We start from the raw sequence: 14,450 nt of genomic DNA on the forward strand, positions 1-14,450 counted from the left end.
ATAGACATGGTGTAATTAAACAGAAACAAAGGCCGACCAAAAACCTATATTATACAAGTATAGAACAGAGAAGGTTATGCTTGACTATGAACAAAAGATTTCTTTCATAGAAGAGAAGTTGGTAGAGCCACAGAAAAGCATACTCTAAACTAGTTAAAAGAATTTAATGACCCAAATTCTATAGACAGCAGTCAAGCCAAGACAGACCTACTACAAAAGGAAGTGATGTGATCCAAGTATTTTGTAAAGGTTATTGAGGGAAGAGAAACCAGTGAGGCAAAGAGATCACCTAAAAAGCAATTATAAAAACTCATCTTTTTGTACAATTTTACTTTATGAAAGTTTCACGACAGCAAAATCATGCTCACTCTGTTCATAAGCAAAGGATAATAGCATATATAGGTAACGGTGGTTAGTGTCATTTGGCCATCTCATTTTTCAGAGTACTGTATAGAGTGTATTATAAAGAATATTAATTCCATTATGGCTGATGAGTACAAAAGCAATTCCAAGTGTTGAAAACTAGTAAGAAGGATTTGATTCCAATGGAAATAAATGTACTTAAAGAAACCCACCATCTCCAAAATAAAAATTTGGTAAGCAAATGGTGTCTGGATTGAATGGCCATATGGGATGACAGTAAAAATTATTCTGAAAGTTAACAAGTGAATCATTCAATACATGGAAAATATTATGCTTATGCAAACAACTAAAGGCACCCAAACATGGAAAAAGCAGAGTATGTAGTTAGATGATTAGCATAAAAATCAGGTACCTCCTGGCCTACTGTTAATTTAGGAAAATAATAGCAGTTTGAAAACTTAAAAGGCTAAGTATGACACATAGTGCTGAGGATGAGATTTCTGCTTCAAGTCAGAAATATATGGTTTCCAAGTCCAAGAACTGTAAGTATCATTAAAGTGAAGCATGTATGCAGGCCTTGGATCCACAGCTGATGATAATGTTATAAAATTACCTAACACTTATTGAACTCTTATTACCTGGCAGGTACCTTAATACTTATTATTATTATCCCTATTTAACAGATAAGAAAAAAATGGAGGCACAGAGAAATTTGGTAATTTTTCTAAGGTCACAAAAAAGCTGTAAGTCTCAGAGCTGGGATGGAACCCAGACAAGAGGCTTCATAAAAGCTGTATTCTTAACCACTAAGGCAAACTGCTGCCCACTAACGAACTCCCTATAACATCTGGAAAAATTACCAGGGAGGTGGAAGGGAGCCGTTTCAATAGCATTTAAATGACAAAAGTGGTCTATTCTAGAAAAATGAACTATTGGTCCTACATTAACATGGATAGAAAGGGTAGATAATCTATAATAACACAGAGAAAATAAGTATAGTTAGTAGTTTTAAAGCTTCTAAAGATTGATTCCTTATTTGCTACACATTATCTAAGAACTACAGGCAGAACTGACCAGCTTCTTAGTATCTTTGGTATTAAAAATTTTATAAACAGCATTCTAGAACCTACTTTTAATGATAAGAGAACATATATACATATAGTTAATTATGGGTAAGATGCTTAGGGCAAGGAGTAGAATAGTAGCAATAAGGGGATGAAGTGGAGGCTGAGGGAGACATTTCAAAGGAAAGAGCAATGGACAGATACTTAAAGACACTTAATAATGGACAGTCTGGAAAGCATGCATGTTCAGCATAGAGTCTATGGGCCACTGAGAATACAAGGCAAGTGACCAACTGTTGGAATCTGCAAGAAAAATAAGTTAGAGTACTATAGTTGCCCTTTGTTGGACTGCCATGTATAACATAACTAAGCCCTGTAACCTGAACAGGAAACACACGCCCACAGCTAGGCAGAAATTACTTTGATTCAAAAGTCCTCTTCCTGTATCTTGACTGTGTTTGTTGCCTAAATAGTGTCCTGATTTCTCTGACCCTCCAGACTCTTTAAATGGGGTTTTCTGACTCCTTGGCACCTGAGCCAAGCTGCGTTATAATGTGAATGTCAGAAGTCAACATTTTGAGGATGGACAGAGTTGGAAGGGGACAGAGATTGAACATGAGTAAGATTTCCTTAGAATTACTCCAAATTTCATTCTTTTTAAAAAAGAAGTTAGAAAACTGAACTTCTCCCTGTATGGGAATAATTACTAGCACTTGAACATAGGTTGAGTATCCCTAATCCAAAATGCTTGGGACCAAAAGTGTTTTGGATTTCAAAATTTGGAATATTTGCGCATACATACTGGTTGAACATCCCTAATCCAAAATCTGAAATGCTTCAATGAGTATTTCCTGTGAGCATCATGTCAGTGCTCTAAAAGATTCTGGAGCATTTCAAATTTCAGATTTTTAGATTAGGGATGCTCAACTTGTAGCAATATTTACTAGTCTAAGATGGGAAAGGTTTTAACTATGACTTGAAAGACAAGAATCAGGCAAGCAGAAAAAATGATATTAATCCATCACTCCCACTTAGGACTCTCATTACTCTGAGACTTATTATTAGAAACCGCAAGTGCCATGGCAAGTAGGAAATCTTATATCCAGCTGTTTATAATTTAAATATTCTTCTGCATTAGTACCGATATTTAAGACTGAATACAGCAATATATTTATTCATATTATTCTAAGTGACATTCTTTAAGGACCAAAATATTTTACTTGGCTATCAGCTGTAATCAAGGCAGGTAATTTCTTGGTATCTTGAAGGTCACTAATGTTCAGAACAATCAAACTATAATCAAGGGTTATATGGCAGTAAAATAAAATACAAAGTCAGAAGAGGCAAAAATATAAAGAGAGAAGGAGAAATAAAAAAAAAACGGGTCATAGCACAGTATGAATGAAGATGAGGAGAGCAAAGAAACTGAATATACCCACCTAAAATGGAACTAACTAGCCAGCTTCACCCTGAAATTTCTTAGTAAGAATAATTTAGGATTTTGCTAACAATGCATAACGTAAGATGAATAGAGAAGATTCATCCTTTTATGCCTTTTTTAAAGGGCTTATGAGGGCAATTTTTTTTTCCTGCAAGGGTATAAAAATTACTAACATGGTACCTACATTTTCCTATTTTAAGCACTACAGAAGACTAAAATGCTAAAGCAAGCTACTACTATTTCCCAAATGGGAAAAATTACTAATTTTTGAAGGTTACTGTGACTCTGGCTGGAAGCATAAAAAGGTAAGGCAGAAATCCTCACTTAAGCTAACAAACTGGCCTTGGAGCTCACGATTTTGTAGGTCATCTCTATCAGCTTTGACATAGTTTTTAGTATACTCACATCTTCTATGAGTGTTCCAGTTACTGTGTCTTTTGTCAAGGGTGGTACCCAGAAATAAACAATACCAGAGTACGTTTGCATGAAGAGTAAAGAAGAACTATCATTTGCTTGGTTCTGGATACTGTATTTCTATTACTGCAGTTTAATATCAAATCACCCCCTTACTTACATCAGGCTGTTAGTCAACTGATACCCAAGTACAGTTTGCTTATCCACCAAGTGACTGGCTTTTGCACAACAGTTTCACAGTACATCCAATTAAAATTCATGCCTTGGCAAAAATTACAGATAACCAACATGTTATCAACTTTGAAGAGTTATTCCCAAAGTTACAGACTGGAAAAGAAAATGTCAAATGCTTGAACAGAGCTTGCCTTTTTACGTTCACTAGGTTTGGCTCACTCAATGAAATGGATATATCCATCAGATGAACTTCACTTCTACCATCTAAGCACTGCATACCCTGTCACAATACAACCTGTTCTGTCTATAGTTCTGGTACTCACACGTGCTGTTCTAATGCTGGAGTTATTGTTTATTATAACATACAATGAGTATTCCTTATTCAAAATCCTTGGGACCAGAAGTATTTTGATTTTTTTTTCTTCAAATTCTGGAATATGTACAGATATATACTTACTAGTTGAGCATCCCAAAACCAAAAATCTGAAGTGTGAAATGCTCCAATGAGCATTTCCTTTGAGTGTTATGTCGTTGCTCAAAATGTTTTGGATTTTGGAGCATTTTGATTTTTGGATTTTCAGATTTGGGATAGTCAACCTGTAATGTAACATAAAAATATAACATAATTATTTTGTTATAAATACATAATTGTTCAATAAATATGTGATATATAATATAAAATAGGTTACAATTATATAATATAAAGATGTTTCATATAAGACATTGGCCATGATTCAATTATAGAGTATATAATATAGAAATAATAATACCACCATTAGTTTCATTTCCAAAACTTAAAGGGAGTTCGCTACTTTAAAACTTTAAGTGTCTCAGAAGTAAACTCTGAAGGTAGACAATGACTTTAAAAATTATTAGCATCCTATAGTAATGTTTTTATATATATATATATCAAGAATTTACTCTGTCTCATATTCCCTACTCATTTTCTTTATATAAAGGATAGCTTCTTGGGTTCAAACTATGTTCTGTTTTTATATTCTGAAATCCTAAAAACCCTAATGTATTAATAATCAACTAAAATGTAATAAGGCTTCTTTCTTTTCTTCATCTGAAACATGGATGAAAGACATTTTTATAACACTGGTCAAAAGAACTAGTGAAATTCTTCTCAGTAACTTTAACAAGAGGTCCAGGTACCTAATTGAATAATTGTAAAATAATATTAAAATTACATAGGAAAGGTGCAAAGGACCATTTGACCTGCTACTTTTTCATGTAACTTTTCTATATTTAAAAAATAATTGTAAACTTCTATCAGAGATAATTACAATTTAAGCTTTATTTCCTTTCAGATTCTTTATTTGGAAGATCTTAAACATTCTAGGATAATAAAAGCTTTATCAGACTAGATGTTCTTCCAGGAAAATTTCAAAATACCATGTTATAATATTTAAGCCCAAAGCTGTGGTTAAAAACAAAAGCCATTTTAATTTAGTACTCTCCATTATTACAAAATGTTAACTAATCTGAAAGCAAATTTATTGCAATTTAGAAAATATGTCCCTATTTTAAAGGCCACAACTAAATTATTAGTTGTAAAAGGCATACAGGATTAGCAATGTGCTAGGCCTTCGAATATTAGAATAGAAACTATAAAATGCAAATACATAAAAGCAAGAAAGGGTGATGATTTTGATAGAATAAAATTCTGACAGCATAAACAATACTTCAAAACTATCTGAAGTCTATTTTATATACTCTGCTAATTCAGTTAATATGAATACGGATTAAGAAAGAAACTTCCTAAGTAAATATTCTCTCTCAGCTCACAGAAATGTCAGATTTGCCTGACAGAAGATTCTAAGTCAAATGCAGAGTAGACTCAAAATCAAGCTAACCTCAGACAGAGACTTCAGCTGTCATTAAAAGGTAGGAATATTTGGAAGTTGTATCATTGGTAATTGGAAATACCATGTTAATCTTCCTATGTAAAAAAAGCTTCTGCCTGAGAAAGCAGCAAGCCTTAACATCTGTTCCTATTAGCAACCAGAAAATATTTTATAAACTTCAGGCTAGTTTTTGCCTAACTATAAAGGAAAGCAAATCTCATTCTCTTATTCTTTGCGATGTTACAACTCCAGGCCATGAATCAAGAAGAAAAGAAAATGTTACTTAAAAAAAAACAGTTTGACAGCAAATAAAAGGTTGAGACTTTAATGGAAACATAATAAGAAAAAAAGTTAAGCAAGAAAAACATGATTGTACTGAAAGTAAATGCAGACAACTGTGTAAATTAGTACATCCTTTTTGGAAGGCAATCTGTCAAAAAGTTTCTAGAGTCATTAAATTATTTATGACCTGTGATACAGTAATTTCACTTTCAGAAATGTATGCTAAGGAAATATTCTTAGAAATAAAAAAGGCTAGATATACAGTTGACCTTTGAACAACATGGGTTTGAATTGTGTAAGTCCACTTATACATGGATTTTTTCCAACAAATACATTGGAAAATTTTTTGGAGATTTGTGACAATTTGAAAAACCTTGCAGACAAATTACACAGACTGGAAATTTTGAAAAAAAATTAGGTATATCATGAATGCATATATATGTAAAATACTAGTCTATCATTTACTACCATAAAAAATACACTAACCTATTATAAAGAGTTAGAATTTATCAAAACCTACACAAACACTTGCAGACCACACACAGTACCATTTACATTCAAGAGAAGTATAAAGATGAATACTAAATCATAACTGAATAAAATTAATTATATGACATACTATACAACTAATAATTCTGTAGCCACCTCCCATTGCTATTTTGGTGAGCTCAATTTGCAAGTATCTGCTTAAATCGCTGTGTGATGCTAATCATCTCCATGTGAGCAGTTGTTATCTCCAGTAAATTGTGTGTCACAGTACAATGTGATCTCTGGTGGTTCTCGTGTATTTTTCATTGTGTTTAGTGCAATACCATAAACCCCAAATAACACCACTGGATCCATACAAAGTGCCACTAGTGATGTTGCAAGTGCTCCCAAGAAGCAAAGGAAAGTCATGACATTACAAGAAAAAGCCGAATTGCTTGATATGTACTGTAGACTGAGGTCTGCAACTGCAGCTGCCCATCTTATCAAACAGATGACTCATCTGTAAATAGATAATGTAAACTTACAGTATCAATAAATACAGTAGCATACTGTAAATGAATTTTCTCTTATGATTTTCTTAATAACATTTTCTTTTCTCTAGCTAACTTTAAGAATACAGCATTTAAGCCTGGGCACGGTGGCTCACACCTGTAATACCAGCACTTTGGGAGGCCAAGGTGGGCAGATCACTTGCACTCACAAGTTCAAGACCAGCCTGGGCAACATGGCAAAACCCCGTCTCTACAAAAACAAAAATTGGCTGGGCATGTGGTGCGCACCTGTAGTCCCAGCTACTCGGGAGGCTGAGGTGGGAGCATGGCTTGAGCCCAGGAGGTGGAGGTTGCAGTGGGCTGAGATCATGCCGCTGCACTCCAGCCTGGGTGACAAAGTCAGACCCTGTCTCAAAAAAAAAAAAAAAAAAAAAGAATACAGTATTTAATACATATAACGTACATATATTTAATTGAATGTTTATGTTGTTGTTAAGATTTCCAGTCAACAGCATGCTATTGAGTACTTAAACTTTTGGAGAATCAACAATTATATATGGCTTTTCTTCCACTATGCAGGGAATTGGTGCCCCTAACCACCATGTTGTTCAAGGGTCAACTGTATATGAATATGTCTCTTGAGCATGATCCAAATTAGGCAAAATCCATTGGAAACAACCCATTGTAATGAAGTCACATGATGGAAATTTTATGCAGGCATTAAAATAATGAATATGAAGGCTAAGGGAAAAATGTACATAGTGTTAAACAGAAAGAGCAGGAGATAAAATTAGGGATAATTCAAATGCATATACAATTATTTTTAAGGTATGTACACAAAAGGACAAATAAAAAATTTAATATACTACTATTAATTATTGTAGGAAGGTAGGGTTAATGGGTGATTTTCTTAATCTTTTTGCTTTTTTCTAAATGTTTAATGAAACTTGTGTAATAGAATTTGTGAAAACAAAAAACTTGATTTAGAAGTAATCAAGAATAAAGACAGCATAAATTATTTCTAGAATATCCTGATTAAAGTCAATATCACAGATTACAGAGTAATTCAGTTTAAAGTAGATATATTTTAAAAAATCAAATATATTTGTTTAATGTGTACAAGGGCCTTGTGGTAAATCAACTTGACGTAAGATATATTTCATTCTATGTAGCAGATGAGCAGTAATTTGGTAATTTTAAACATTTCAAAAAGAAACATATAATTTAGACACTTTTTTAAAAAGCGATTAAAAGAGCCTTCCTACTCTCTCATGTATGCAATTAAATTACTTGGCAGTTTCTGTGGTATAATTCATAATGATTTTCATATATTATTAAATTTATAAAAATACCATTTGTCTTTTCTCCTTTCTCTAGCTTATATATGAAGAGAGATTTAAAATTCTGAACCAAGAAAAGTTCTAAATTAAAATAAGTACAAAAATTAAGATTTTATCCAATATTATTTCCCATTATATAACAACTAGATACATACTTTTTGATAATTTAACTACAATTTCTTATGCCAACCCTGTAGCATCAGAACGAGCAAAAAGGCAAAGATTTATCTTTCCTGGCAAGGATTTGAGGAGGAAGAAGATGGAAATAAACAGAATATTAAAAACAGAACAAATTATTCCAAGTACAAGAACCAAAAATATATTATTAATTAGAAATTAGTAATTCCCCCAAAAATTCATGAGTAAACAAAATGAAGCCCTTAATACTATGCCTAATAAGAAAAGTTAATATTAATTCATTTACTACTCACCAGATATTTTAACTAGGCTTTTTACAAATTCATATTCTAACTTAATGTTCATTATTTGCCATAATGTGCCTTAGTACATTAAGACCATATTATATAAGAGCTATGACAAACCCACAGCCAATATCATACTGAATGGGCAAAAACTGGAAGCATTCCCTTTGAAAACTGGCACAAGACAGGGATGCCCTCTCTCACCACTCCTATTCAACATAGTGTTGGAAATTCTGGCCAGGGCAATTAGGCAGGAGAAGGAAAAAAAGGGTATTCAATTAGGAAAAGAGGAAGTCAAATTGTCCCTGTTTGCAGACGACATGATTGTGTATCTAGAAAACCCCACTGTCTCAGCCCAAAATCTCCTTAAGCTGATAAGCAACTTCAGCAGTCTCACGATACAAAATCAATTGTACAAAAATCACAAGCATTCTTATACACCAATAACAGACAAACAGAGAGCCAAATCATGAGCGAACTCCCATTCACAATTGCTTCAAAGAGAATAAAATACTTAGGAATCCAACTTACAAGGGACGTGAAGGACCTCTTCAAGGAGAACTACAAACCACTGCTCAATGAAATAAAAGAGGATACAAACAAATGGAAGAACATTCCATGCTCATGGGTAGGAAGAATCAATATCATGAAAATGGCCATACTGCCCAAGGTAATTTATAGATTCAATGCCATCCCCATCAAGCTACCAATGACTTCCTTCACAGAATTGGAAAAAACTATTTTAAAGTTCATATGGAACCAAAAAAGAGCCCGCATCGCCAAGTCAATCCTAAGCCAAAAGAACAAAGCTGGAGGCATCACGCTACCTGACTTCAAACTATACTACAAGGCTACAGTAACCAAAATAGCATGGTACTGGTACCAAAACAGAGATATAGATCAATGGAACAGAACAGAGCCCTCAGAAATAATGCTGCATATCTACAACTATCTGATCTTTGACAAACCTGAGAAAAACAAGCAATGGGGAAAGGATTCCCTATTTAATAAATGGTGCTGGGAAAACTGGCTAGCCATATGTAGAAAGCTGAAACTGGATCCCTTCCTTACACCTTATACAAAAATCAATTCAAGATGGATTAAAGACTTAAACGTTAGACCTAAAACCAGAAAAACCCTAGAAGAAAACCTAGGCATTACCATTCAGGACATAGGCATGGGCAAGGACTTCATGTCTAAAACACCAAAAGCAATGGCAACAAAAGCCAAAATTGACAAATGGGATCTAATTAAACTAAAGAGCTTCTGCACAGCAAAAGAAACTACCATCAGAGTGAACAGGCAACCTACAAAATGGGAGAAAATTTTCGCAACCTACTCATCTGACAAAAGGGCTAATATCCAGAATCTACAATGAACTCAAACAAATTTACAAGAAAAAAACAAAACCCCATCAAAAAGTGGGCAAAGGATATGAACAGACACTTCTCAAAAGAAGACATTTATGCAGCCAAAAGACACATGAAAAAATGCTCACCGTCACTGGCCATCAGAGAAATGCAAATCAAAACCACAATGAGATACCATCTCACACCAGTTAGAATGGCAATCATTAAAAAGTCAGGAAACAACAGGTGCTGGAGAGGATGTGGAGAAATAGGAACACTTTTACACTGTTGGTGGGACTGTAAACTAGTTCAACCATGGTGGAAGTCAGTGTGGCGATTCCTCAGGGAGCTAGAACTAGAAATACCATTTGACCCAGCCATCCCATTACTGGGTATATACTCAAAGGACTATAAATCATGCTGCTATAAAGACACATGCACACCTATGTTTACTGCGGCACTATTCACAATAGCAAAGACTTGGAACCAACCCAAATGTCCAACAATGATAGACTGGATTAAGAAAATGTGGCACATATACACCATGGAATACTATGCAGCCATAAAAAATGATGAGTTCATGTCCTTTGTAGGGACATGGATGAAATTGGAAATCATCATTCTCAGTAAACTATCGCAAGGACAAAAAACCAAACACCGCATGTTCTCACTCATAGATGGGAATTGAACAATGAGAACACATGGACACAGGAAGGGGAACATCACACTCTGGGGACTGTTGTGGGGTAAGGGGAGCGAGGAGGGATAGCATTAGGAGATATATCTAATGCTAAATGACGAGTTAATGGGTGCAGCACACCAGCATGGCACTTGTATACATATGTAACTAACCTGCACATTGTGCACATGTACCCTAAAACAAAGTATAATAATAAAAACAAAGAAAAAAAAAGACCATATTATAGGTACAGTTTGCACATTTACTTCTGCTATTAAGTGATAAGTTCCTTCAGATAATATTTTACTCACCACTTACTTCCACCCTCCTTGGCACAAGGTCCTATCAGGTGCTTGATACATGTTAAATGAATTGAATTCATTGCCAACAGGGTGACTATACAGCCTGATTTGTCCAGAACAGTCCTGGTTTTGTCACTGGTGCAGCATAATTAAAAATAATATATTATTTCGCTTTCAAAGTGTCCTGATTTGGAAAATAAATTACCTGATAACACTAGGTGCAGACAATTAAAATTCTTTCTAAAATCATCAATATACTTTCCAAAGTGCAAACGACAATCCAGCAGGGCACTGAGCACCGGCAAATGGAGTAGCAGAGGTGAAAAGAGCAGGGGAAGAGCAGAAATAGATGGCAGCACAGAATACTGAAGCATCTCACCATTTCTGTGGCTTGCTGATCTCAACAGAAAGCAAGTCCTGCATTTTGAGATTCTTCCAAAGGCTACCTCTCTATTTAGACCAGCACTGAAGGGGCCCTACTTTCTACTGGGGATGCAAGGATTTCAGAAAGCTTATACTCTATTAAACATTACATCTATAGCTCCGTACTGGCCACAGAAAAAATGCAATGAGGCCGGGCACGGTGGCTCATGCCTGTAATGCCAGCACTTAGGGAGACCAAGGTGGGCGGATCACTTGAAGTCAGGAGTTTGAGACCAGCCTGGCCAACATAGTGAAACCACGTCTCTATTAAAAATACAAAAATTAGCTGGGCGTGGTGGCGCACACCTGTAGTCCCAGCTACTTGGGAGACTGGGGCAGGAGAATCGCTTGAACCCGGGAGGCAGCGGTCGTAGTGAACTGAGATCACAACACTGTACTCCAGCCTGGCCAACAGAGAGAGTGAGACTCCATCTCAAAAAAAAAACAACAACAAAAAACAGCAATGACTCTGTGTACCCAGACATACCTCTGGAAACAGCATCCATTTATTTTTAATAATATAATTGGAATAGATTTCATGTATTATTCTTCTCATTCTGTTAGAAAGATTTTGTAAGATGAGACTTTAGAAAAAATAAGCCATGAATAAGGTTTTACTCACTTCTGAAATGGAGTATTTTATTAACGTATAAATATATTTAATTAAAACACACATTTTGTTATGGCCTGAAATGTGTTGCCTCCAAAACTCATATTTTAGAGTCTAACCCTAGTACATCAGAACGTAACTGGATTTGGAGAGAGAGTCTTTACAGAGTTAAAGAGTTAAAGTTAAAATGAGGTCATATGTGTGGCCCTAATCCAATGACTGGTGTCCTTATAAGAAGAGGAGATCAGGACAGCACACACAGAGGGGAGACTATGTGAAGACAGTAAGAAGACACCCATTTATAAGCCAAAGAAAAAGAACTCAGAAGAAACCAACCCTGCTGACACCTGGATCTCAGAATTCTAGCCTGCAAAACAGTGAGAAAATAAATTTATGTTGTTTAAGTTACCTAGAACGGGACGTCTTGTTATGGTAGCCCTAGAAAACTAATACATATTTCTAAATGTGTATCTGAAATTCAGAAGAAAAAAAAGATTAAAAAATGTAAAATATCTTTACTGCTGATTTCTTTCTTCAAACAGAAATTTATTTAAGGGTATTATCAATGCTCAAGAAGAGCCTAGTGGTCTAATCACAAGTAAACAGCTAAAAATAAGTATAATCTAAAATTCAGAATGTAGTACTATATCTATCTAAATTTCCAAATTTTCATAAGTTCTCATACTCTGTAATAATCTGCATAACTCAGCAAATCTGCATTTGCAAGTGATCAATGCACATTATAAAAACATACATGGTAAGAAAATTGATTCAAAGGGTAAGAAAGACCCAATTAGATTTTAATGTAACAGAGCACAAAACGCTCAATGATATGGCTTCAGATTCCACATTGCAACTAACCTTAAAGAAACTACCTCGTGTTGAGTTTTGGTGTAGTATCATAGAATATTCACCATTATCTGAAAAAGGCTATTAAAATATTCCTTTCTTTTCCAATTATACGTCACTGTGAGGCTGGCCTGTCTCCTAGTATGTCAAACAAAACATGATGTTGCAAAAGACTGAATGCGGAAACAGATATGAGAATCTAGCTATTTTCTTTTAAGTCAATCATTACTTTATAAAATTATAAAACAATGCTGTTCTTATTGTTTTTTGTTTTGAAATATATATTTTTCATAAAACCATACTACATATTGATGTAAACATGCAATAGGTTACTGTTATTTTTAATTGAACTAATGAGTTTTAAAACAAATTCTCAGTTTTAATTTCTAACATAGTAAATATTGGTAGCTGTAGCCCATATAAACAAAAACTCTTTTAAGTCCTTGTTACAGACTGAATTGTGTCCCCCCTCAAGCCCATATGTGGAAGCCCTAACTCCCAATGTGACTGTATTTGGAGACACAGCCTTTAAGGAGGTAACTGAGGTTAAATGAGGTCATAAGGATGGGACCCTAATACCATAGGACTCATGTTCTTATTAGAAGAAGAGGCACAAGAGACCTCTTGCTTTCTCTGAACATTCATAGAAAAAAGGCCATGTGAGGACACAATGAGAAGGTGGCCATCTACAGGCCAGGAAAAGAGGTCTCACCAGGGACCAACCCTGCCAGCACTTTGATGTTGGACTTTCAGAACTGTGAGAAAAACTGATGTCTGTTATTTAAGCCATCCACAGTAGTATTTTGTTGCAGCAGCACACGTAGACTAAAACAGGCCTCAGTAGTTTTTAAAAGTTTATAATGGGTCCTGAGACCAAAACTTTTGAAAACTACTAAATTAAACAGTAACCATTTGGTTGTATAAATTAAAATGTTTGTAAACAAACATACTTTATAGTTACAACTTGGAAAAGTAATTATAATTCTCATTAACTATTCAAAATGCAAAGAAAAAGGGAGAAGGCCATCTTTAAAATAACCTTACTGTTATTTGATAAATACAATTATATATCATTTGAGAATGTATTTTTAAAAAAGTGAAACAAACTATGAAAAAAAATTGATGCAGGCACTGAAGCACTTGCTTTGCGTTTTCAGGAAACTAGGCTTGTTGGGCTTGATGTGTTTGACTAGGGCACACTAACCCTTAGAGTATTTGTTAAGTCTATTAACTTTCTGAATACAAAGTCAGACATAAAACAAAAGAACAGGATTTGCTTCATGTGAGGAAAAAAGAACCAAACAAATTACAAGATGACACAAAGAAGTTAATCAATGGATTGATAAATACACTAAGTACAGTTTTAACCACACAAAACTTATCAATATAGGGAAATAATAAATGAACAGTAAGAAAACCTATTTCAATATATGCAAAAATAAATATTTTAGTTCTCCTAGTAACTGTGGTTGACAGCAAAAATGGTAACGGAGCTGTGGAAGTGGCCTAAGAATAAAAATTTTAGTAGTTATAAGTCTTTAAGTAATTATAAAGTTATAAAGTAATTACAAGTTATAAAAGCCTAGATGAGTATAAAAAATACATTAACCACAATGATGAATTTCTGAATTTCATGGACACAAGTATACTGTGTTGCTTTTAACAGCAAATAAACTGTGCGCTCAAATACAATAGTTATATGTAGAGTAGTACTATAAAAATCAAGCAAAAAGCTTAATTTCTAAGGCTCTAATCCTAGGGATAGCATTCAAAATCACATTTCAGTAAATTTCATGTCACATAACTTTGTATGGAAAGAAAATACTAATTCAACTTGAGCTAACTTTTCTCTAGGTTCAATGTTTGTATGAAAAAATAATTATGCAGTCCGTTTGGAAAAGTATAATC

The 14,450-nt window shown here is 34.4% G+C and overlaps 1 protein-coding gene across 2 annotated transcripts in view; it reads right to left on the minus strand.

Annotated features, from left to right (window-relative positions):
* The window catches only part of LRP12 (LDL receptor related protein 12), a 100,023-nt gene that overhangs the window by 28,025 nt on the left and 57,548 nt on the right, over positions 1 to 14,450 (minus strand). The window lies entirely within an intron of this gene.

This window comes from Homo sapiens, chromosome 8, assembly GCF_000001405.40.
Source record: "Homo sapiens chromosome 8, GRCh38.p14 Primary Assembly".
Taxonomy (NCBI): Eukaryota; Metazoa; Chordata; class Mammalia; order Primates; family Hominidae; genus Homo; species Homo sapiens.